Source organism: Homo sapiens, chromosome 6, assembly GCF_000001405.40.
Source record: "Homo sapiens chromosome 6, GRCh38.p14 Primary Assembly".
Taxonomy (NCBI): Eukaryota; Metazoa; Chordata; class Mammalia; order Primates; family Hominidae; genus Homo; species Homo sapiens.
In genome coordinates, this window is record NC_000006.12 from 150641760 (window position 1) to 150668860 (window position 27101).

General features: G+C 39.6%; 1 protein-coding gene across 9 annotated transcripts in view; it reads left to right on the top strand.

Annotated features, from left to right (window-relative positions):
* PLEKHG1 (pleckstrin homology and RhoGEF domain containing G1) overlaps positions 1 to 27101 on the top strand; it is a 243781-nt gene that overhangs the window by 41875 nt on the left and 174805 nt on the right. For 3 of the 9 annotated variants that reach the window (NR_138138.2, NR_138136.2, NR_138140.2), the window contains 2 exons: positions 8969 to 9027; positions 20676 to 22780. The exons of 1 other annotated variant lie outside the window; for it this stretch is intronic. The gene's annotated coding sequence lies outside the window, so the exon portion shown is untranslated. Of the gene's footprint in view, positions 1 to 8968; positions 9028 to 20675; positions 22781 to 27101 lie in introns of those variants that run through there. 5 more of the 9 variants (NM_001329804.2, NM_001029884.3, NM_001329805.2 and 2 more) reach the window with 2 other exon arrangements.

The window sequence follows — 27101 nt, forward strand, 5'->3', positions numbered from 1 at the left end:
TCATCTGAAATAGCCTCAGGATAGATGTTAAATAAAAACTCTGTGATATATTTGGAAGTTCTCTTTTTAAAAAACCAATATGTCAAAGCCTGTTTTACTTGACTGATGTGAAAAGGCAAAAAAAAAAAAAAAAAAAAAAAGCAAAAGGAAATTACCTTTCTAAATAGAATATTTTCAAGTGATGTAAGTAACCCTTTTTTTTTTCAAGTGATGTAACACATTTCCCGAATAAAGTATATTTTTACAGAAGCCTGGGTAAAAAAAAACTGTGCTTCACCATTAAATAAATGGGTGAATACAAATTCAGATTTTAAAGTTATCTCCTAAAATATTAGTTTATTAAATAAGTGGCACAAGAAACCTAATGTCCTGTTTCCCCTTATTAAATCTATTTGACTTATGAGATAGTACAACTTTGGAAACCACAGCCAGCTGAATTCTGTTCATTTGAGGGAATTTTATTATTTTAATTAACATTCATTTTCACTGCTTGTTAACACATTCTGAATTGCTTGAAGTTATTGACCTAGATTGAAAGAAGCTCTTGAACTCTATAAAAGGTGGTGCTTATAAAATTTTTCTGCTTAGAAAATGTTGCTCAGTTTCTGTGGCTTCCTCCATTTTATTACGTGTAGAATCTGCCAAAACCTTGCTAACTTTCATAATCACCTTCCTTTTCCTTATTTATGCCTGGACTTGAGTATCTCTGGAAAATCTTGTTTTACCCATAATTTTCCTCCACTGGAATGCTGCCAAGACCAAGATTTTAATATTAAAGTTGTATTTTGTTATGCTTTTAAAAGTTTACTGTATAACTACAGTTGCCTTTGGGCATTGTCTTTAATGCTGTGCCAGCCATCCCACTGGCTAAAGGTCCTGTGATGGTAAGGACTGAATCTGTCCCAATCATGGCTGCATCCTTAGCACCTGCACTGGTATGCTGTTGGTGCTCAAATGTTGGATGCATTCAAGGCATTTTAGGAGTAGCACAGGTTGCTCAACTAAAAGCATTGATAACTGTATTACAGCACTTGTAATATAGCTGCTATCCAGTTTGTCTCCTGGTATGTAACCCTTCAAGAACCTGATGTCTTAGGCAGTGGTTCAGTATTTTTCTATGTAACCCCAGTGCCTATAACAGCACCTGTAATAGTAGCGGTACTTAAGTGAAGCTCATTCATTGAAGAAACATTCCCTACTTTTTGCATTTTTGCCCAGCATCCCCTCCAACTTTAAAAACTTAAGGAAAATAGTGACGGAATCCCCAGTTCTTTGGCCAGCTTTTCTTTATTAAGAGGCCGTCTTTGCTGTAAGTATGAAAAACAGAGAGACATACCAAGGAATATGAGGAAGAGGTCACCTACTGGAATGCCTCATCTCTAATTAAGTATTAGAATTAATTATCCTTTGCCAGGTAACTATGCCAACTTTTAGCCTGTTTAAAAAAAATAAACAGGAAATGGTAAAAATCTAAGGTCTGGACCATCAAAATTTGGTGTTGAGTTCTTGCTGTTTGTCTGCTTTTAGTTTCCTTTTTAAAAGCTCACAGTCAACTTACCATGAAATCTAGCCCAGATTCTGGAAGTATCTGGTATCAGTGTAACACATCTTAATAATGTAGTAAGAACCTCAATCAGTCCTGCCTCATATTGGTGTGTGTCCTGTGGAACCTAGGAATTGATACAAACTGGAAACTGAACTCATCTTAAAAGCTCAACTCATTTCATAAATTGCATTTACATGCAGCATGTGGTGCCTGATGAGACAGGCAAATCTGATATACAATATCTAGATTGGGTGGGGAGAACCTTTCTTTTGACAAATCTTTCCTGATATATCTGTCAAAGCACCACTGAAAACAATTCAATGGATTAAAAACTGCTTGATGTATGTAGCTTTTCCAAAATGTGAGCCGTGTTTCTTGAAGATACCATACTTTATTCACTTTGCAATTCCTCATGCCTGCGTAATGCCCGGCTCATACCAGGCATTCACTACATAATTGAATCAAATGATGAGTAAAACTCATGTATCTACTGGTTAGGAGGCTAAGAAATAGCTACTAAAAGATTTGTACCTCTCCTCTGTGGTTTCCACTTTCAAATTCTAGGATTTTTTCCCCCTAAGTGATTGACACCCACTTTTTTTTTTTTCAAAAGAAGAAATGGCCGTTTGCAAATATCAAATTAGAAATTAAAATTGACTTGAATTTGCAAGGAAAGCTATAGAGCGTGTGTCTGTCTTTGGAGGTCTCTGAGAATAGAAATGGATGTTTGTACATAATCGTAAATATTTGTTAAGTGGATAAACGAATTTTGAGGTATTTAAATAAATTACCTCCATGAATGAAAAATTCAGGTGATTTGTTGAGTTGACATTCTCTCCCTTCCTACTTTGGTCAGCCAGTTTCCATTGTGAATTCTGTAGCTGGTGGATTTTCTTGCTTATAGCCAAAGAATTATATGTGCCTATAGCATGCCAGAACCAGAATTTGGCCCTATTAAAGAACTAATAAAGTCAATAAACATTTGACAAGGAAGAGCTAGGAAAAGAGAGTGGTTTTTTTCTTTTCGTGTTTTTTTTTTTTTTTTTTGTTACAGAGTCTCACTCTGTCACCCAGGCTGGAGTGCAGTGGCGCAATCTTGGCTCACTGCAACCTCTGCCTCCTGGGTTCAAGTGATTTTCCTGCCTCAGCCTCCTGAGTATCTGGGATTACAGGCTACTCCCACACCCGGCTAATTTTTGTATTTTTAGTAGAGTCAGGGCTTCACCACATTGGTCAGGCTGGTCTTGAACTCCTGACCTTGTGATCCACCTACCTTAGCCTCCCAAAGTGCTGGGATTACAGGCATGAGCCACTGTGCCCAGCCGATAGTGTTTTTTGTATTCTTCTTATTTTTACAACTTTTCTTGGTATTTCCAAATATATTTTTTTAAGTTAGTAATATCCTTTCTAGAAAAAAACAGGATATTTTTTAAAAGGTAACTTCTCCAGGAACAACAGAAAGATCCCTAGAAATACATCTAGTGAAAGATATATGAGACCTTTATGTAGAAAATGGAATAATTTTAACATCACTGGAAGTTATTTTTTAAGGCTCTAAATAGTGTGGAGAGGTAACATGTTCATAGACAATATCATTATTATAATATAAAGATGTTGATTTTCTCATATGTAGATCTAGTGTAACCCCAATCAAATTCAACATGTTTTTGGTGGAACTTACATTAATTCTAAAATGTATACAGAACAAAGATTCATAAGTAGCCAAAATAATTCTGAAGAAACACATAGAAGGATTTAGCAATGTTATTTATATTGCTACAAAATCATAGTTATTTAGGCAGTGTGATTTTGGCAATAGGGATGAGCAGTTAGACCAAAAAATAGTAATCTTGAAACAGGCCCACATTTATATAGAATCCTGATATGTAACAGAGGTGCATTGCAAATAAGTGGAAAGAATAAATTAGTAAATGACTCTGGGGTAATTGGTTATCCTTATGGAAAAAATGAAAATGCATCCTTGCCTCACACCATATACAGTCATCAATTTCAACTGGATCGAGGACTTACATGTGAAATTACAAAGTGTTTAAAAGAAATATATAAGAATATTTTCATGTCCTTGGGATAGGAAAAGAATTTCTTAAACAAGACAAAAATCTTTAAACCATAGACATATGTAACTGCATTATATTTAAGATCCTCTGTTGAGAGTGAAGATAAATCATAATCCATAACAGACCTATGGATTTATATATTGAAGAATATATGAAGAACTCCAACAAATTCATAAGCAGAAGACAATTCAGTAGAAAATGGGCAAAATGCATGAACAGATTTTTCACAGGGAAGGAAACATAGATGCATATGAAAATATGCTCAACCTCAGTAATTAGGAAAATGCAAATTTAAACCATAATAATACCATTTCACACCCATGAGAATAGCTATAATTACAATTGTGTAGCACCAAGTGTTGGCCATAGTGTAGTGTAGAGCCAGTGGAACTCTTATACACTATGGGTGGAGTGTAAATTGGTACAATCCTTGAAAAACTTTAGAATTACCAGTAAAGTTCACCATGTGTATGATGAACAGCCTAACACTTTCAATTCAGATAAATACAATGTAGAATCTCCAGCACATGAATACAGAAGAAATGTACAACATTGCTTTTAGTAGGAATAAAACCCAAACTGGATACATATAGTCTACAGGTCTAAACACCAGAGCATATAAATATACCACAAGTTATTCAATAACATACTATCCACCAGTACAAACAGTTGAACTACATAATTAGCAAAATGACACGGGTATATCTCACACAATATTGAATGGGAGAAAGCAAGTTACAATCGTGTATGTACAAGCCTGTTTTACAGTTCAAAAGCACACAAAATTTGTCAGAATGGGGTTTCTACATGTTGGCTTATCCTTGAACCCTACGTGTTTGCAGGATGGCTGCAGCAGCTCTCCCCTCTCTTGTTCTTATCTAATAGTGGGAAAAGTTCTGTTTTATTCTTCATAAAACCCAAAAATTAGGTCTCGGTGGCCCTGATTGGTCTGGTGTGGGCCATGTGCCAATCCATGAACTAATCACAGTAATTAGGGGGATGAAACATGATGAATGGCTTAGCCTAATTAATGTCATTCAGAGCACATGGGCTGGGAGTAGGGCAAGGGAGAGGAAAATGTTGGTGCGAATGCCAGAAGGAGGGTAGATGGATGTCAGGCTTCAAAACCAACAGATGATGTTATTCCACCCACTTCATAGAAGCCAGTTTGTATTACACAGGCCATTGTTACTTGCTGATGTCTATGAATGAAATGAAACAGCTCAAAGAAGGGCAGGTAGAAGCAAGAAAGGGGTTTTTATGTTGCAGTGGATGTAGAGTCACAGGTTACCTAGCTGACATTCCCAGATTGGAATGGACAAATGTGATGTGGCTCTCCAAGATGACAGGTAGGGGCAGCAGCAAGAATCTATTCCAAATAGTGATTCTTTTGAGATTTACGTGATCAGATTTTATATCCCCTCAAAAATATTCCCTTTCTTTTCATGTACTTGACCATCTTCGTTACGGACTTAAATCATATTTTCTGGAAATTCATGGGAGGAACATTGGTAGATTTACCCTTTTGGCATTATTACAATTCGACACTGATCTGAAGTCCTGTCATTTCTGGTAGCCCCTTATATGGATTTCTCCCCTCACTTTGTTTCCTTGTTTCTTTTACAAAGTTCATGTGTTTTACTCAAGAAACAACATATTTTGTGCTTACGAACAAATTTATTGGGCTCCTATATATCAAATAATTGACATTTTAGGGAAAATTTTTATGCTTTGGGTCTTTGTGTAGTCAGTATCGTATATAGAAGTATTATCAGACATGACTTTAAATCATTCCTTGTTTAAGCCATGCCTAACTCAGACCATTAAAAGCCACTTTACCTAGTCACATAGAATAACAATGGCCTTTTATTTTGTCCTGCATATAAAAAGCAAGATTGGTCTCTTTCGTGGGTAATTGTTGTTAACATTCATTCTGGAATAATACAGTTGATCCACAGTTATTGTCAGGGACACATAGCTTTGAGTCTGTTGTCTAAAATTAAAGGTAAGCCTATTTTAGACACTGTAGTTAAAAGGACATGGTGATAGGTTGGTCTCCTTTTTACAAAATCAACCCTGACATTTTATTTATTTTTATGCTCAAATCACGAGTTGTGTTTTGCCTATGTAACTTATTTTAAACATCACCTTGCTTATAGTGTAGACTATAAGTTTAGCATTGTTCTTTGGCCAAAAGCAATAAAATATGACCTGTTTCACCGTGATTCAGTGAAGTGCAGTCAGCATTTTCTTTTCACAAATATAACACTGATGGCTATTTTTAACACTTCCCCAACCTTCAGAAGTGTAATGAAGTTTTGTTTTGACGTAAAATTCTAATTGGATTTTATGTCCTGAGTATAATATATTAGTGGATGTTGTACTTAAGGCCAGACAATCAAATATTCTTAATTTTTTAAAAAATCCTATTTTGAATTTATAGAACAGCCTCTGAGGTTCTCAAGTATTCACCTATAAATAAACATTGCTGATTGTAAAAGCCCTCTTGCTGTTCTCATATTCCTATAATAACTGAAATTATAAACTCATTGGTTTACCTCATATTGAATTTCCTGACTAGATGATGCTTTTTTCTTTTTTTAAAAAAGTACATTTGCATTTTTCATCATTTCTCATGAGGGAATCATTGTCTAAAGATTTCTTTAAATGTCTTCTATATAGATTCTTTAAGCATTATTTTTCTGAATATGATCTATTTTCAGACTGTCTTCATTTTAATTTGTTTGTGACTCATCATTTCTGCCACTGGATAAAAACCAGTGCTTTTTAAATAATTTGTTTTAAATGATCTTAACCTTTACTATTTCTAATAGGTTTTAAAAAGATATTTCTTTTATGGTATCTTTCTAGGTATTCAACCTCGTCACCTGCTGATGGGGATAATTTGGCTGTTTATTTTCTTTCACTGTTGCACAGTGAGACTTTCATTCCTGACTTTTAATAAAAATGTCTATTGATTTCAGGTCTTCTTAAAAATCATGGCAAACTATCCTATTTCTCCATACACTGAGAGATGACCATATGTAGGTGCTGAGTTTACCCCATGCCATTTTGTCATCTTTGAAGATAAGAATAAGTGTTGATCTTTTGTGACCTATTGATAGGGCATAATGGATCTATTTATATAATATTTATAGAATAAACCTTATTTATGGAGATGTGTTGTATACTAGAAATTGAGTTTTCTGAGCACTTTATTGAGGGTTCTTACATCTTATCTAAGTCAAACATGCCTCTTCCTTTTCTCTCTTTGTACCTTATCAGATTTGTGCTGGCTTTATCAAATTGGGGAGCCTCATTTTCCCTCTATCTTGAAAGCTTTTCATATAGTTTGGGAATTATCTAATCCTTGAGGTAAACTGTATGTATTAGTTGTTTAGCCTTTATATTTTTGGTTCAGTGTTGATAATTAAATATCACCTTATAAAACTGTTTCCAATGAAATGTTTGAATTTATTCACAAGGATATTTTTATATAGTATTCATGATTTTTTTCATCTTTTCTGTTTCTGTGATATAGTCCTCTAATAATTCTAGTTTTTGGTTGGATGTTAAGACCAAATTTGTCAGAAATCTGCCCATGAAGTATTTCATTCTGCAATGAACCACCTACTTGTTTTTAAATATTTAAATCACAGAATCCTGCTTTTTTTTTAATTTGTCTTGCCTATATCATATTTATTTCAGACTTAACTGAGCTTAAACATTTAATTTCTTTATTCTCTTCAATGAAAAAGTACTCGTGTTACAAATGAAACTGCATTGTTTTTACTCCTCCTATGCAGAATAAAATTAGCTAATTTTCATTATCCCCACTCATTTCCCCATTTTTGATCATATGAGCTAGGATTTCAGACCTAGGTGGAGCTAATTATAGTAAAGCTTTTTATTAAGTTTTTTTGTTTTTCAAAAATTTTGGAATCCGGCACTCTAGTTGGGCTATTTTTATAATAATAATAATTAGCACATTCTGTGCCTGCCTTTAATGTTCCCCACCAGTGCTATTGTGTATCTACCTTTTCACTCTGAAGTTTTTCTTTTGATTCATCCCTCAATCAACTGGAATATATTCGAGTAACTTTTCTTCATGAAGATACCCAGCTGAGAAATTTCTAGGCACTTTTTTTTAATTTTAAAACTCTGCAAATGTTGAAATGTCTGCGGTTCTTTCTTTTTAAAAACAGTGACCAGGCTGGACGCGGTGGCTTATGCCTGTAATCCCAGCACTTTGGGAGGCCGAGGCGGGCAGATCACCTAAGGTCAGGAGTTCGAGACCAGCCTGGCCAACATGGTGAAACCCTGTCGCTACTAAAAATACAAAAAATGGCCAGGCGCGGTGGCTCATGGCTGTAATCCCAGCACTTTGGGAGGCCGAGGCGGGCGGATCACAAGGTCAGGAGATCGAGACCATCCTGGCTAACACAGTGAAACCCTGTCTCTACTAAAAATACAAAAAAATTAGCCGGGCGTGGCGGCGTGTGCCTGTAGTCCCAGCTGCTGGGGAGGCTGAGGCAGCAGAATGGCGTGAGCCTGGGAGGCGGAGCTTGCAGTAAGCCGAGATGGCGCCACTGCACTCCAGCCTGGGCGACAGAGCGGGACTCCGTCTCAAAAAAATAAATAAATAAAAATAAAGACGAGAGCAAAACTTTGTCTCAAAAAAAAAAAAAAAGAAAGAAAAAAAAAACCAAAACAGTGACCAGAAAAACTGCAGCCCCAAATTTCACCAGATGTAAGCCTCACCCCAATGAGCTCGACCCCTCAACTCTCTTGCACTGATGGAAAGTGAGAAGAACTCAGAGAAGAGTGGCTGTGGCCTTAGGCAATTGTTGGAGGACTTGTGTTTTGGAGCTAGGGATGCTGCGGTGGAGAAGGATTGAAATCAGAGCCTCTCCTTCCATTCCCTGCTTCATGGCCTCGCGTTTTCTCTCTCCTTTGTTGGGGGAAATTCTTCCTGGTTTCTGGCAAGTCACTGAACTCCTCTGTTTACAGAGCTATTGTATGTTCAAGTCTCCTTTTGAATTATCTGAGTATTATTTCAAGGGAAAGGGAAAATCAAGGATGATAGGACTTCAGTAACTTTCTAATACCACATCCTGTGAATTTTTTCATTTTTTAATTAAATGTTTATGATTACTGCTATAGGCCTATTACAGTCCAGTAGCATGATATGGCCTTTTCCTGGGAATATCCTGGCCTTTTGGCATCTAGTCTTCCTTTTAAACAACTTAAAATTAGCCCTGATAGCTCATCCATGTTCCACTAAAAGAATTCTGAGAAAGCAATATTTAAGTAAAAAGCAATTTATTTTTTGTTTTTACTACAGGTGAAGACTGATGAGAAGAGTCTGTGGGTGAAGACATTGAAAAGGTTTCAACTATAAAAGTGAGCTCTTTTCATTTTTTTGCCCCTTGAGTATGAAACATATGTTAAAAGCTGAACGTATTCATAATTTCAGTTTGTTAGTATTTTTGTATAAGTGTACTCTGTAAGTCACATTTTTCGATTTTCAAGTATAGCAGTCCCCCTTATCTGTGGGGAATATGTTCCAAGCGCCCCGTGGATGCCTGAAACCATGGATAGTACTGACTCTATGTGAATTGTTTTTCCTATACATGCATATCTATAATAAGTTTTCATGTCTACATTAGGCACAGTAAAAGATTAGCAACAACGAATAATAAAATAGAACAATTATAACAACACACCGTCATAAAAGTTATGTGAATATAGTTTCTCTGTCTCTCAAAATACTGTAATATTTTCAGACCACAGTTGACTGCAGGTAACTGAAACTGCAGAAAGTGAAATCACCTATTAGAGGAGCTACTGTAGTCAGTTTTTTCTTTTTTTGAGACAGGGTCTCGCTTTGTCACCCAGGCTGGAGTGCAGTGGTGCGATCTGAGCTCACTGCAACCTCCTCCCGATTTGAAGTGATTCTCCTGCCTCAGCCTCCGGAGTAGTTGGGATAACAGGCACGCACCACCATGACTGGCTAATTTTTGTATTTTTAGTAGAGATGGGGTTTCACCACGTTGGCCAGGCTGGTCATGAACTCCTGACCTCAAGTGAGCCATCCACCTCGGCCACCTAAAGTACTGGGATTACAGGTGAGAGCCACCATGCCCAGCCCTGTAGTCTTTTTTAAAACAGAAAAAACTATTCTCAGTCTTTAGACCAGGTACAGTGGCTCACGCCCCTAATCCCAGCACTTTGGGAGGCCAAGGTGGGCAGATCACTTGCGATGAGGAGTTCGAGACCAGCCTGGCCGACACGGTGAAACTCCATCTCTACTAAAAATATAAAAATTAGCTGGGCATGGTGGCACGTGCCTGTAATCCCAACTACTCGGGAGGCTGAGGCAGGAGAATCACTTGAAGCAGGGCGGCAGACGTTGCAGTGAGCGGAGATTGTACCACTGCACTCCAGCCTAGGGGATAGAGTAAGACTCTCTCTCAAAAGAAAAAAAAAAGTCTTTAACTATTTTGTATAGAATAATGACAAATATTGTTACCAAAGGATAAAAATTAAAGAAAATGCGTACTGCAGATTAACATACATAAAGACTCAAAATGGAATCAAGTGTAATCGCACATGACCCATTTCAGAGTCATTTCTTCCCATTGGCTTTCTGGTTTTATTGAATTAGTCTTTAGGTAATATTTTAAATCCTTTTCATTGGCTAGAAAAGTTCTGTGGTATTTTTAACGTATTTTTCTTTAAGATTGAAAATCTCATTTTAACTTGGTGGTGTTGGTTCTTGAAAAACCACAATGACACTAAAAGGGAAAGAAGGAAGAGGAGATATGCCTTTCTGTTAGGTCCAGGCAATTATTTTACTCTGTTTCTTTCCTAAGTACTTTAACTCATCAGGCTCTGACCACATTATGAACTATTTGTCAAGGCCTGCAATGGTAAACTATTTCCACGCTTATGCTTATACGTCAAATGCTTATTAGAGTGTTAGGAATAGATGAAGAAATTTAGTCTGGTAAGCATAGTGGTATCACTTTTTACTGATAAAAAAGTTTATATTTTCGTCTGGGTGCAGTGACTCATGCCTGTAATCCCAGCACTTTGGGAGGCCGAGGGGGGTGGATCACGAGGTCAGGAGTTTGAGACCAGCCTGGCCAACATAGTGAAACCCCGTCGCTATTAAAAATACAAAATTAGCTGGGCGTGGTGGCTCATGCCTGTAATCCCCGCTACTTGGGAGGCTGAGGCAGGAGAATCCCTTGAACCCGGGAGGCAGAGGTTGCAGTGAGCCGAGATCGCACCATTGCACTCCAGCCTGGGCAACAAGAGCAAAACTGTGTCTCAAAAAAAAAAAAAAAGAAAAAAGGAAAAAGGTTTATACTTTCAATTTTATACCAGGTCTTTTTTTTAACCAAGCAATAATCTAAAACAATTAAAAGCTTAAGTGCAACAATGGGTTAGAGCCTTGCCTTTAACTCACAAAATAATAATGCTTTATTGGAGACATAAATATTTAAAACACTGAACTATTCTTGAAGTACTCAAAGTTATTACAAAGACAAACAGTATTTTAGTAGAGTCAAGATTACTTTGCTTGTGTCAGAGTTCATCAGTGTTTTGCTAACTGGTAAAACAATGGTTTTCTTACTGCAGATCTTTATTACTGGCAAGAAAGTCCCAGAAGTTCTTTTCTCTAACTTATGACTAGAATGCTGAGTAGCTTGAAAATCAATAGGTTCTGGTCTGGAGCTGACTTATTCATTAGTCACAGTGCTCAGGGCCCATGATACTTTCAGTGGCCTATGGAATTGTTTTAACTTTACTTTAAAAACAGAAGAAAAAAAATGAACATAGTAATAAGGAACATATAATATGGAACCTAGCTTGTATTATATTTGTCTTTATACCAATGCAGTTGTAAAATTTAATATTTTTTCCTGGAGGAAGAGGCTCACAAAGGCCAAATTGTCCAAGGGCCACAAAAGTCATCATGGGGCCCCACCTGTGTTATAGGTCAGGCTCACCCCCCACGTGTATGTGAGATTCAGTGATTTGAATGCCAAAAAAAAAATAAAAGTAAACAGGCTGGGCGCAGTGGCTCACGACTGTAATCCCAGCACTTTGAAAGACCAAAGCCAGTGGATCGCTTGAGCCTAGGAGTTCGAGACCAGCCTGGGCAATATGGCAACACGGTGAGACCCCATCTCTGCAAAAAATACAAAACTCAGCTGGACGTGGTGGTGAGCTCTGGTAGTCCTAGCTTAGGAGGCTGAGGTGGGGAGATTGCTTGAACTCAGGAGGCAGAGGTTGCAGTGAGCCAAGATTGTGCCAGTGCACTCCAGCCTGGGTGACAGAGTGAGACCCTATCGCAAAAAAAAAAGAGTAAATATTTTCTTTTTTAGAAATGATCTTCTCTGTAAATGAGTCCATAGATATGTCTGCTCATCAGAGAGATGCATGCTTATATCAACAAAGGAAGAAAGAAATGGCATGTTGTTAGGTTAGATGGCCGTAGTTGTTCCTTCTGTTTTCCTAAAATCAAATAAATATTTCCCTTTCCATAATCATTGATATTCTGTTTGCTTTGTAACATGACTAATTTATTCGGTACTACAAAAACTCCTAGATGGATAGATACAGAGATAATTTTCTGAACAAAATTGTCTCTACATTTTGTTCTGTGTGCCTTCTTGTCCAGGGTTTCACCTACCCTGGTTATTTGATGGAAGGGCATCAGGGTAGAGCTGCCACTTAGGGCACACAGCACAGGACTGCCCGGGCGGCAGAAAGATGCACATTCATGTTCCAAGGCACGTCCAGGCACCGGGTGCTGAGGGCGTCCTGATCTTTGCTGTTCTTGCTAGCATTTCCTGAGCCCCTTGCACTGGTGAGTGGGGTAACAGGATAGTAGTGTGCCTTTTATTAGAGACACCAAAGATTAGAAATGGTATGTTTTCCAGCCTAGATTTTGCCATTGCTCAGCACAGCGGTGCTCAGTAATCCGTGGTGCCTTGTGGCCCTACTATGCGGCAGCGCTCTTCCCTGGAGGGTAGGCATCACCCTCCAGTTTCTTCCATCCCCATCTGACTGAGGCACTGTCACTGCCCTCTCATGAGCAGGTGCAGGAGGACCACACTGAGCCCATCCCAGGTCAGTTGCTACTTTTGTGGTACCTTGGTATTGTATAATCTCAACACTGAAGGCTTTGTGGGATTGAAATATGACTGCTTTTTACCTCTAAGACTTAGAAATAATATGGCGAAGGCATGCTCAAGAAGGAAACAACACCGCTCAGCCCTTCACATGTCTTCTAGGTGACCTTGCTACTGTGTCCCAGGGCCTTGTAACTGTTTTCCTCGGGGCTGATGGATTTATTGTAAGGCAGCTAATAGAAGAATGATTGGTGGCTATAGCATAAAGGATTCACATTATGAATAAGTAACTTGTTGTATTGAGCTAGACATTGCTAAGAATATAACCATCCAGGGGGATTCTTGGCAGAATGCCAGAGGACAGGGATGGAAATGCAGTGTTTGATCTTTAGAAAGTCACTGAAGTGCTTTCCTTCAGATTCTTCCATTGCAAAACCTCCTGATTATTGCCTGGCTTGGTGGTGTTATGAAAATGATTTTTAAAAATATGTAAAGTTTAAAATCATTATACAAACCAAATATAGAAGTTATAAAAATATGCACAGAATTACAGCATTCAGAAAATGTGCAGATTAACTCTACCTAAGTATTGAACATCTCTTTTCCTTTAAAAAAGTCTCCTAGAGAAATAGGAATGCTTTTACACTGCTGGTGGGAGTGTAAATTAGTTCAGCCATTGTGGAAGACGATGTAGCGATTCCTCAAGGATCTAGAGCCAGAAATACTATTTGATCCAGCAGTCCCATTACTGGGTATATACCCAAAGGATTATAAATCATTCTACTCTAAAAACACATGCACACGTATATTTATTGCGGCACTGCTCACAATAGTGAAGACTTGGAACCGACCCAAATGCCCATCAGTGATAGACTGGATAAAGAAAATGTGACACATGGCCAGGTGCGGTGGCTCACGCCTGCAATCCCAGCACTTAGGGAGGCCGAGGCGGGTAGATCACAAGGTCAGGAGATCAAGACCATCCTGGCTAACACGATGAAACCCCGTCTGTACTAAAAATACGAAAGATTAGCTGGCCATGGTGGCGGGCGCCTGTAGTCTCAGCTACTCGGGAGGCTGAGGCAGGAGAATGGTGTGAACCTGGGAGGTGGAGCTTGCAGTGAGCTGAGATTGTGCCACTGCACTCCAGCCTGGGTGACAGAGTGAGACTCCATCTCAAAAAAAAAAAAAAAAAAAAAAAGAAAATGTGACAAATATACACCATGGAATACTATGCAGCCATAAGAAAGGATGAGTTCATGTCCTCTGCAGGGACGTGGATGAAGCTGGAAACCACCATTCTCACCAAACTAACACAAGAACAGAAAACCAAACACCACATGTTCTCATAAGTGGGAGTTGAACAATGAGAACACATGGACACAGGGAGGGGAACATCACACACCAGGGCCTGTGGGGGGTTGGGGGGCCAGGAGAGGTATAGCATTAGGAGAAATACCTAATGTAGATGATGGGTTGATGGGTGTAGCAGACCGACATGGCACGTGTATACCTATGTAACAAACCTGCACATTCTGCACATGTATCCCAGAACTTAAAGTATAATAAAAAATAAAAAAAAATCAACCAATAAAAAAAAAACTCTTCTAGAAATTTGAATACCTTAAGGTGGTATAGGGACTAGACATTTTGTGGGGGAGACTTCCTCATTGTAGACCCTTTAGTTATAGCTGGTGAAGAATCTGAGGGGGTCCCTAACTATTCTTGAGAGAAAAAGGATATGAGTTTAAAAAAAAAATACTTGTTTTCTCTCAAAGGGGTGACCTTTGGAACGAGGAAGGAAGTAGCTCCTGTTCCTGTCCTTGGAACTAGGAATTAGGAGCCTCTTGGACAGTCTGTCCTCAGTCTTGTAGAATTATGGTAATAGGTTTCTGTTGAAAATGAGGAGGGGGAAGGGGACATTGTGGTCAAGTAAGTTTGGGATTTCAGTAAGGTTAATTGGTTTCTGTTGCTGTAGACTCTTTACATGCTGCCCTGAATGGCCTCTGTTCAACAAGGAGGTGTTATAGGCAGGGTTTCCCAAACTTCATTAAGCATGGAGCACCTCCTTTCATGCTACCACTCCTTTAATTTTAAACTACTTTACTAGTTTAAACTACTAAAAACTACTTTAAACTACTTTAGTTTTTAAACCTATTACCATATTGTTCTGTGGAAGATAGTTTGGTAAATGCAGATTTAAGGTCAACTATGGCGAAGAGAAGTGGCCAGCACAAACACAGAAATGGGTTACAGGAAGAAATATGAATGGATTGAAGCAATAATTGCATTCTGCCCCTGTTGGAGGAGCTCAGAGAAAGACCATTTGGAGGACAAAGTTCTATACAATATACCATTCACTCTAGCTGGGTAACTTGTAATGGCACCAACCCTCATGTTTGCTAGTTAGGGAGTCTGTGGCCTTTTGCTATCTTGTTGGGCTGACTCTGTGTTCCATGCATAAAAGTGATAGGGTATCCCAAAACATTTAGTTATAGCACTGGCTCCAGGACCAATGAAGAATGACTTTCAGTCATCTCAAATTCTTAGGTGAAAATTTGTTTAGACCTTTTGCTATCAAACTACCTCCAATCTAGTAAGACTTGACAGATCCTGATGGACTCCTTAGGCAACACGTGGTTCAAGGAGAAGTGGCATAAAATTACTTAGCCGAAGTTGTTATTGATAACTTCATTAAAAGTGACCTGTGTGGGATGATCAAGAATTTCTGCTTTGTAGAAAGCACTGAGCTAAGGTACTGTGAAGGATATGAAGGCAAAGATACAAGGCTTCTGCCAATAAATTAGAAATTAATCTGAAATTTAGGGTACCAAAGCAGTTAGAAAGGTGATCAGAAGCAATGGGCTTCGCTTGTGAAAGGGCCATGTCTTTGAAAATACTGCTTATTTTCTGTTGGTTGGTTACAATTATTAATTAAGTCAAAATTGTTTAATTGTTATTCAAATCATCAACATCCTTAACTTTTCGACTTGACCTGTCATTTTCTGAGAGAGCTGCTTTAGAGCTCTCATTGTATTGGTAGATTATCAGTATTTGCTTTTAGTTGTATCAGTTTTCCCTTAATATGTTTCAAGGCTATGTTTCAGATGCATAATGGTTAGCAAGTTATTCACTTGTTATAAAGCTAGGTACAAGATCATTGTTGTACTTTAAAAACCAGATAGAATGTCATAGCCCCATGCAGTACGGAATCATGGATGTCTCATGTTCTTAACATCTGTAGCTGATGATCAACTTGGATAGACCCACCAGAGGCTTGCTCAGGGACCATCTCTAATAGGCACGGAAAGACTGTCACCTAAAATGTCAAAAGGACCAGATGCGCCCAGTAGTGCCAGATCTGCTTTTAGCAGCTGTGGATAAGGAATCCAGTGTCTGGAACAGACATTTAGTTATAATATTTGAAAAACTTGTAGAAGCACTGGACCAGATTCCCCAAGCTTAAGAAGTCAATAAAACAAAATTACCCACCTTTAGGCTTTAGGTAGTCAAAGCCTACATTCATGTTGACTGAGCTACAGCCAACCTTACCTCCCCTCCGCCTTGTCTCCTTTCTTCCTGTCTCATCCCAGATCCCAGTCGTCCTCATTTCAGTTGCATTGTCCAGGGTAGGCATACTTCAGAAGTCTGTGTTTTATTGCATTATACCGTCATGCCTTTTCTGTGCCACAGGAAAGCCTGTTCTAGAGGAAGGTTACATCTGTGATAAAAACTTTTAGAGTTAAGTAGGGTATTAAAGCAATCATTGTGTTTTAAAATAGAAAGACAAGGAATTGCAATTGATCTTAAGTCCTGTATTAAGGCGAGTATTTTCTTTTAATATTCTTTGTCTTAAAAAAAAATGTGAGGCCTGGCTTCTTATAGTGTTGTAACTTCATATACATTCTTTTGATTTCTAAAGCATAGTCATTCAAAGATAAACGGAGTTCAGCAATTTCCCAGGTCCTCATAAATGGAATATAGTAACCAGACTCTTAGTCAAATGCTTGCCAAATCATTTGTCTATGGTTTCCCTTTAATTCCTAAGCCCCTGCCCTCATTTCTAAGTCTTCTCAATTGAGGACTTCCAGTCACCTCTGTGATCACATATTCTTAAAGCTGCCTCTAACTCCTAACTCTCCTCTTTGAGGAAATGAAGGGATTTTAGTACAGCCACATCACTTTGAAGCAGTGTTTGATATCTCTCTCCTTTCCTCCTCCCTGCTCCTCACCCTGCCCTTAATATCAAATTTGTTAGCAAATCTCACTATATTTACCTTACCAGCTGTCTCATCTCTGCTTTTTCATTTCTACTGCCTTCAGAAAGCAAAAAACTAACATTTGCACATTTACGATAAGCTACATGCTATATATTATTTCTTAATTCTTTTAGCCTTGTGCAGTTATCATTAATTGGATTTTACAGATTAGGAGCCTGAAGCTTGCAGAAATCTAAGTCACTGCATAACTCATGCAACTGGCAGTTTTTGAAACAGTTTGAGATCTAAATACCCAACTGCAACCCCAAGCCCAGTGTCATCTTCACAGCCGTCAGATGTGCACGCAGCCCAGCCATGCTGTGTGCACCCGTGTTGGGACTGGGTTCTCTCTCTCTCTCTCTCTTGTTTCTCTGAACTCGTGAACCTCCTGTTCATTCAGTCCACCAGGCTGGTCTACTCAAAGTGCTGAGTTAATTATGTCAGGTGTCTGGTCTAAAACTTACAATGACATGTTGTTGCTTGCTCTGTAAGCTCCAAGGCATTTTTTTTTTCAGTTTTAATTCAAGTGTTCTAAAAAGTATTTTGGGTACAACCAGAACTCTCTCTGCTCCTTGGATTGGAGTCAGTGTGAAAGGAACACAGTGGGCTCTGGGGTCAGCTAGACCTGGATGTGGATCACAGCTCACCTCTTCATTGGGAGGCCTCAGGCAAGTTATTTGCCAACCTCACCTACAAAAGCATGATGCTAAGCTCATTTCAGTTTAGTTGTGGATATCAGAGCATATGTATACAATGCCTGCCATAGTGAGTGCCTGGCCCTTGGCAGACTGTCAAATGGAGCTATGGAGCAGCAGCGGGAGTAATATTATTATCTAGACCTTATCGGTCCTTTTAAACTCAGTTCAGATTCCTTCTCCTTTTTAAATTACTGCAACCTGATTTTACCTGCCCCTGCCTCCAAGTTGCTGTATCAGTTAGCCTCTGAACAATTCATTTAGCAATTTTAATTATATATTGCTTCTTGACACTGCTTTGTGATCTTAAAAACTCTGCTTCAAATACGTACTTGGTTGCTTTTCCTGAGTGCTGTTAATTCCTGCTCTAACGGACTAAAGTAATTTGAAGGCAGGACTAGGTTTTATGCATGGCACACAGTCTGGTGCCTTACATGTAACTACTCACAAACTTTTTTGATCCAAAATTTAGAAACTTCACACGCATTCATAAGAAATCAATAAAAATAAGCTAAGTTGGTTTCAGATACAGAGGGTTCCCAGGAAGGTGTGTACATTGGCAATTAGCCCAAATGTCTTTGTTCATAATTTTTTTTTTTTTTTTTAAGTAGAGACAGGGTTTCACCATATTGGCCAGGCCGGTCTTGAACTCCTGGCCTCAAGTGATCTGCCTGCCTCAGCCTCCCAAAGTGCTGGGATTACAGGCATGAGCCACCATGCCTGGCCTGTTCATAATTCTTAATGTGAAAAATATTACAGGGTAAAATTTTAAAACTAAGTAATTTTACTCTCCAATATGTTTGATAAAACTGTCTTTTAAACTCTGAGAAACCTTAAAACATGGCTGTATATAGAAACATGTTTTATTTTCTTAGAGTTAACCCACTAAATGAGGAAACATTCTAATTTTTTCATGATGATTATCTTCCAGGTGTAAATTTTTCTCAGGTGGATTTACATGTTTCTCTCCAGCCTCTCCAATCCAGATAAATAATTCTTCTCTCCTCCCTACCAAATTTTTCCTTTGGAGAGTCTGATGGAGAGGATGATGCTCTAAAAATATGTCTGAGGAAGGGCTCTTCTAGAGATAAAAATGTGGCATCTTTCAGTTGACAAAATAATTTCATTAAGTATGGGCTTCTTAGTTTATTTAAGCACCTCATACTCAGAGCCAGTTGTTAAAAACTCCAAACTTTATCTATAATTCCAACTGGAGCTTTGAAGGCCTCTTCTTAAACCATAGAGGCATTGGTGAAAGAAAAATTATTTGGAACAAGTTGTAGGTAAGTCTCACCTGCCAACGTGTGTGTTTTATCCTGGTCACATTTCAGTGCATTTGCACAAAGTCTATTTCTAAACAAAAGACATATTATTAATTTTGCCAGTGTTTTGCCTACATAGAAAAAGGTGTTTGTGGAAATACTTACCTAAGGATGAAAGATGTCTTGTTGATCTGCCAAGCTTAATGTTGCTAAATTGAACTGTGCTGGGAGATCCTTTGGATGGGCCCTTTCCAAGGAGAATGGGATTCTTCCTTCGTGGGGTCAAGGAGGGGGAGTGAATAGTGGAAACTGGATCCCTCAGCTGAGGAAAGGTTTCCTCCCCTGGAATAGAATGCATGGTTCTGTGAGCGAATTTGAATGTGTTGCTTTGGGCCCTTGGTCTCACTCGCCTTGTCTACATGGTGATGCTAGAAGAAGCCTTGGCCAGTGTAGGGCATAGGCTGGTCCAGCGCTCACTAACATTAGAATCCACCAAAATATCTCTCTCAACAACATTCCGAAGAAAATCTTCAAAAAGTTTTTAAGAATATTTGAACCTTCAGGATTAGGATTTTTTATAGAGAAAGACTGAGAACAAATCAGGATTCAGTCAGTAAAGCCATGCATATATACAACAGATGTTATATGCAGGCAATCTTCCACTTAAGCCAGGGTTTTTTTTCCCAAAAGTTCATTTGAAAAACATTTTGGAGTGGATTCTTTCCTTGTTAGACATAAAGCTATGCATGTGAAGTCTTCAGGCACACAGAGCCTATTTAACTCATCCTGTGCCTGAAATACAGTTAGGGCCATCTGGGGGCCAGTTCCCATTACTGATGTTCTTCCCATTGTTCCTGTAAACACTGAAATTCCAATATTTGTGGAGAAAAACCATGTTCTGGAGTGGTTCTTGCAACTAGAGAATGTGGTGGAAACATTCTTTATTAGGCCATGTATCTTGATATTAGAGTTTAGAGATACGCCTATTAGCTGTGAAACTATAGTGATATGGAAATCAGTAACCATGTATAAGAATGATTCAGGGGAGCTTCATGTGTATATCAGAGCAATAACAGAAGCACCTTATGATTATGTAGCACTTGAACATTTGAAAAATTTATGTATTGTCCCCATTTTAATTTTGAAACTCTGAGACCCAAGCATTCTTGTTTGTTTTGTGGCAAGAGCTTAGGTGGAATGATTTGAAATAAACAATAAGGTAGAGGCCAGGATCCCGAGAGAAGGATGAGGAGACAGTCAGAATGAGGGCCTGAGGGAGGGGAGGGAGAGGCGGATAGTTCAGAAGAGTGTGTCATGGACCACAGGACCATCCTACCCTCACCGTGTATCCCAAGGCGAGAACCCAAATGTGGATAGTGTTAGGTTGAAGGAGAGAAGGCAGGGGATAAGGAAATGTTTTTCTCCTCCTGTCAGTCAGCTCCTAATCTTCCCAGTATGGTTTCCTTCTGGTGTCTTCAACACATTCTTCTAGAAAACATTGATAACCTTTGGTCAGCTCCTGCATTTGAGGAACATGTTGAGCTAAAAAGCATTTTTAAGCAGGGCTAGGAACCATATATATACCATTGGAACCCGGAACAGATTTTCCTGTAGAAATAAACAACCATTTACAAAGAGTGTTTTGGAACAAGCTCCATCTTCTGTTTTTTGTTTTGTTTTGTTTTGTAGAGACAGAGTCTCACTTTGTCGCCCAGGCTGGAGTACAGTGGCGCCATCTCAGCTCACTGCAACCTCCGCCTCCCAAGCTCAAGTGATTCTCCTGCTTCAGCCTCCCGAGTAGCTGAGATTACAGGTGTGCGCCACCCCACCTGGCTAATTTTTGTGTTTTTAGTAGAGACAGGGTTTCGTCATGTTGGCCAGGCTGGTCTTGAACTCCTGACCGCCCACCTCAGCCTCGGAAAGTGCTAGGATTATAGGCGTGAGCCACCGCGCCCGGCCCAAGCTCCATCTTTAAATGTGTTCTGCCTGTGCTTGCAGGAACCGGTGAGGCTGTGAAGAGAATAGTAAAACGCTGCATTCTCACGGGGGTTCAAAGCTTTTTCCTCTGAAACGCAATGAACTGTTCTACCACTTCCTACACCTCGAGACAAGTGTCAACTATGTATTTTTTAGACAAAAAATTTGAAAGCTTTTTATGTTTTATGATATTTTATGAACATGAGCTTTTCTATCTGAAGAACTTTAAAGCACTTATGAAAAGTATGATGATACTCATGGGGTCACTTTAGAGTACACAAGAAAACAGACGGGAAGAGGTTTGTTGACATGAAATGCTGACCTGCTGACCTGCTGTGAGATATTGAACACGTTATTTTTCTTCCCCCATGGTCGTTCTTCTGACCATCTTGAAAGATAGCCAAGAAAGCTTTTTCTTCTAATTATTTCCAGTTATTGTAGGTTCATTCAGACCTGCAATTAAACAAATTATCCATGTTTTGAGAATATTGATTTTAAACATTAAATGTTTACATTTCTATATAGAGAGAATTCATTCTCTGCCCCCTACCACCAGATTTTAGCCTTAAAGGCAAGTTATTTAGTTTTGCTTATTCTCATACACTGAACAGTTGTTTAGCAAATGGCTTAAATAATGTGGTCTCTTGATTCAGGAAAATGTGGCTCACAAATGAACCATTTAGAGCAAATGGTGCATCTTTTATATCTTAGATTTATAGTGCAATGAAGACATACTCTAAAGTTCATATTTTTATTTTTATGGTTCAGTATATTTGCAGGAAGAAAGGACTAGAGATTTTTCAGGCACTTTCTTTTCTCTCTCTCTCTCTCTCTTTTTTTTTTTTTTTTGAGATGGAGTCTCACTCTGTTGTCCAGGCTGGAGTACAGTGGCATGATCTTGGCTCACTGCAACCTCCACCTCCTGGGTTCGAATGATTCTTCTGCCTCAGTCTCCTGAGCAGCTGGGACTACAGGCACCCGCCACCACGCCTAGCTAGTTTTTGTGTTTTTAGTAGAGACGGGGTTTCACCATATTGGCCAGGCTGGTCTCGAACTCCTGACCTCGTGATCCGCCCGCCTTGGCCTCCCGAAGTACTGGGATTACAGGTGTGAGCCACTGCGCCTGGCGGGCACTTTCTATACTAATGTTCAAAGCACATTCACATCTATTGTACCTTTTATCTCCCACTCTCCATCTCCAGGTTTATATTTTCATTGGTACTTTATCAGAACACTTTGTACTGTGATAGCAACTCTTACTCAAATTTGGTAAAACAAACAGAAATGAGTAAATTGCTCTTGAAGGAGTACAGCCTCTAAGACTCATTGGTTCAGTGACTCAGAAACATCACTGAGGACTCAGTTTCTTCCCATCTCTCTGCTCCACCATCCGTGGGGTTGGCTTCTTTCTCAGGCAGTTTCCCCTAAGTGGTCACAAGATGTCTACTAGCCACAAATGGAATAAGAGGTTCCCTTGTCCATGTGCACCAGGAGACAGAAACCTCTTCACAGCCTTTCAATACATATTGTCCCTTCTTTTGATCTGATGTGGCCACTTACATCATGAAGGGCAGTAACCATACTCAATGCCCGCACTGATGGGCTTACATCCGGCAGGATCCACCTCTAGGGCTGGGGATGGCTTAGCTCCAGCTATGCCATATGACTATGTGTAGAAGAAACAAGGAAGTGGTTACCTTGGGGAGAAGTAGAGAACAAATGCTGGGTAAGAAACCAATAGCACCATTAAAATGGGGCCATTGTACTTCATTGTGTTATTCTTTTTATTCTCTAAATAAAACAAATTCTGAATATAATCTGTGAATCCCTGGCTCTTATCTCTACACACTATTGCAGACTCTCCCTCCTTCTTCAGAGTCCCTCAAGGCATTTCATGGCACTGTGGTGGGGGTGTCTCGTGTTGTGAAGGGCTGTGGTGGTGTCTTCTTCTCTGGTCCAGGTCGCTGAATCTCCTTGACTGGAAGGTGCTGGCAGTTCAGCTGACACCGCCATCTAGAATCACTCAAGCACAAGAGCCCGCCCTGGGCCAACTGGGGCTTTGTTCTTTGGGATACGTGCAAGAATCATACCACATTCATCGCAGAATTGGGGGAGATGCTTCTATCTCGGGGAGTTTTAAGTGACAGTTACTCTATCAGATTACTCTGTTACTTTCTGCTTTCCATTCCTTTGTCTTTAGGATTTAGACATAGGCTGTGGGAACAGAGCCAGATGACAATAAGGCCAATAATTGGGCTGCTGAGAATGGCTTCCAAGCTGCTGGCGAGGACAGCTGGGTAGAGATAGGTTGCAACCGGGAGAACAGGCTCCTTGGGGTATTTAGTGCCCGAGTTAAATAGACCAATATAGGTGATCTGGGAACACATTTATCCTTATGCATGATCTGTGAGAAACTGGGTTCCAGACTTGAAGTCTGGGCTCAGAATGATTTAGAACACAATCTGTTTGCAGGTTGCAAGTTACTTAAATAAATTATCGCTCTTCTTGCCTCTATTGTCACCCACTCTTCCCCAAAACACTACGTCATTAGAAGAGAAAGCTAATATAATAGAAAAAATAGAACTTTTCTTCCTGCCTGTATCAAGGCAGTAATGATTTGATTTAATAATGAATGTCGTGGCTCACGCCTGTAATCCCAACACTTTGGGAGGCCGAGGCAGGTAGATCACGAGGTCAGGAGTTCAAGACCAGCCTGGCTAACACGGTGAAACCCTGTCTCTACAAAAAATACAAAAAATTAGCTGGGCATGGTGGCACGTGCCTGTAGTCCCAGCTACTCAGTAGGCTGAGGCAGGAGAATCGCTTGAACCCAGGAGGCGGAGGTTGCAGTGATCCAAGATCGTACCACTGCACTCTAGCCTGGGCAACAGAGCAAGACTCCATCTCAAAAAATAAAAATAAAAATAAAAATAAAAATAAAAATATTAATATGAAGGCTGAGCAGGGGGACTTTTTTTTTTTCAGTTTCTTTACTGCATCAGCACAGGTTCTTGGGGAAATGCTCTGGTTTCTGTCAACTATAGAATCAGTGGTAAAATTCCCAGCTGCTTCTGGCATTTGTCCCTTTATTCCCTATGATTTGGCCAACCAGGGGAGTTGGTTGGGGTAGCATGGGAAGCCCACAGGAGCTCAGTCATAAGGGGAAGGCACAGTTAAGGCTAAAGGAATCCATAATGTATAAACTTGGCCTCACTGAGCCATCTGCCCATGATGGGGTGGGGCCTTGCCTCCATCTCTCCTGTGTAATGGTTATCCTGTAGGTGGTCTGATGTCCCCCTCATGTCTTTCCACGTTGGAAATGCTCTCGTTTAGACAACAATTTCCTGTTAAAAAACAAAAGCATAGCAACAGAAATATGTGGTTTCTTCTGAGTCCTTCCTCTACCCTGGCAGTACTCTGGATGAAAAGAGTCAAGTTCTATAAATATAATGCAGCTTCCTGGACAAAATGTATTAAAAGGGTCAGATGTTCCACTTTCTGCAATCCAATGGAGTTGTGGTTGTCTGAAGTCAACTGATGCATTCAGGTTGGAATGGCGCCCAGGGAAGAGAGTTTAGGAACAAGCATAAACTTGGCCTTCCTCTCATTACACTGAGTTCGCCACAGGATAACACTGTCTCCCACCCTCAAGGGTTTCCATGGTCTGACCAGCTGCAGCTCCTGTCACTTCCCCATCCCACACTCCCTCTGCTTCGGCTGTGTTGGTCCGTTCATTGCTAACTTGCGTCTGTTTGCCAGCTTGCTCCATCTTCTCTGCTTGGGGCAGGATCAGATAACCAATGAGCCCAGTGTCTCTACCACTCCCTTTGCTCACCTCTGCAGTACCTAGGTGTTCATTGCAGACACAGAAAAGACCTACTCCTAAGTATCTCATGTTATTGATGAGAAAATTGCAGTCTGGAGAGAGCTGGCAATACCATCAAACGTGCACAGCAAGTTCATGTCAGAGACTGAGCTGGAATCAAGATATCTTGCCTTCTAGCTTCATACAGTTGCCATCATACCAGCTGCATTGATAATTTTTTTTTTTTTTTTGAGATGGAGTCTCACTCTGTCGCCCAGGCTGGAGTGCAGTGGCGCAATCTCGGCTCACTGCAATCTCCGCCTCCCGGGTTCACACCATTCTCCTGCCTCAGCCTCCCAAGTAGCTGGGACTACAGGTGCCCACCACCACACCCGGCTAATTTTTTTATATTTTAGTATATGGAGTTTCACCGCGTTAGCCAGGATGGTCTCGATCTCCTGACCTCGTGATCCACCCAACTCGGCCTCCCAAAGTGCTGGGATTACAGGCGTGAGCCACTGCGCCCAGCCTGATAAGATTTTTAAATTTTCTCCAAAAGGGGGTGTGTGTGTGTTTGTGTGTGTGTGTACAATGCTTAGGGATGCCAAGCTATTTAAATCATATAGCATGAAAACTGGGCCTGTCTAAACATATATTAGGGTTGGGTCTGCATCACCTTTAGTTAGCTAACTACTAATATTTCAAGTTTTTAGCATCCCTAAAATGTTTGCTCACCAGTCTTTTTAAATATTATATTGCTGCGGACATAATTTTTTTAAAAAGAGTTTCTACATATGATTTTGTGAATACTTAGCCTTTGACTAAGGATTGACTCTGAAAAGGCTGTTTCTATTATCTGTTCAGCCAAGTCTTGTGTTTTCAACATATATGTACTAAACAGCATTATGTTGTCTTAATATGACACTAAAATGGGGTTCAAGGCAGAACATACTTCTGTTTGTTACAATTTAGGATCATAAGGTATCTTGGAAAATAGTAGTCTGAAGTACAGAATCCAAGGACAGCCTCCTGTGGTTTATTACTTTTATTTATAGCAGTCTACTTTTTCCTATTTGCAACAGATTTGGCTAAACAATGTTTTATTAATTCAAGCAGGAATATTTTCCTGCATTGAATTTGCATTAAAATTGCCTAGGAAATAATATTACCCGGTTTTCCTCACACACCCTCTATGCTGCTAGAGAACTTTTAGAAAAGCTGAATTCAGAAGTCTGCAAATAAATGAAACTGTGAAAAGTAGAGGTGACTCTCCTTTAGAACTACAAGGGATAGTGAATCCATCAGCAGTCACAAGTAAAAATACTGTCTTCTTGTGGTAGAGTGCTACTTATTCCTTTAAAAGCTTTTCCAGCCCATCAGCAGGTATTAAAATGTTCAAGGCCTCTTGTCTTTTTGTAAGATGTGTGTATAAAAAAGAATTCAGAGCAGAAGGTTTGAAGATTATCTTGTATACAAGGGCGGCTAAAATACGTGCAATAGGTCTTTCCAGGAATATGAAAGTGAAGATTGATGCCGAAAGTCTCATTGCTGTTTTTCTAAACTGGTTGCTGTTGGCTGTGAAAGCTTTCTTTGAATTAGTGAAGGTTTCATGTGCCCACACATAGCCTGAAGTGAGAAACTCACTGTTGCTTGTGCTTGCCAAAAGCAGACATAAAGCATTGGCTGCCCTACCTGTAACTTCTGCTAAAAACAGAACACAAAATTATCATGGGAGCCTTCAACAGCTAGAACACCATCTAAACAAAGTAAAAAGTGATTGGATTCTTTATGGCTCCCTCAAAGATTTTTCAACTCCCTGTAGTCCAGTTCCAAAAAAAGGAATGATGGTTTTCTTGGAGAGCCAACAGTTCCCTTTGTAAGTTTCTGGAATTTTTGTACATGATATTTTGAGTTCTTCTACAATAAAATTTAATGGTCCATTTGAGAAAGTGTACTCATATTAAATGTAGTGTCTATTATTGGGTAGTCTGAGACAATTCCTGAGTGCTCAACTCTCCTTTGATCTGTCGAAACATAGTGGTTGCCATGGAGTCTTGCTGGCCGATGACCAAGTAGGAGTTCCACATTCCACTCAGCTGGGCGCAGTGTTCCTAATCAGGCCGGACCTGAAACTCTAGCACAAAGGACTTTAAAACCGGAATGCTTTATGTGTAATCACTGAAAATAAGTTGATTATTTGTAGGGCAGAGTATGGTAAAGGTTAAAAATTTCATGTTTCACTTATTTAAATTTTGATTTGTTTCTGGAAAAATATTTTAGTCTTCTGATGATATGAAATGTAAAATTCTCTCTAGTCCCCCTGCTTTGTACAA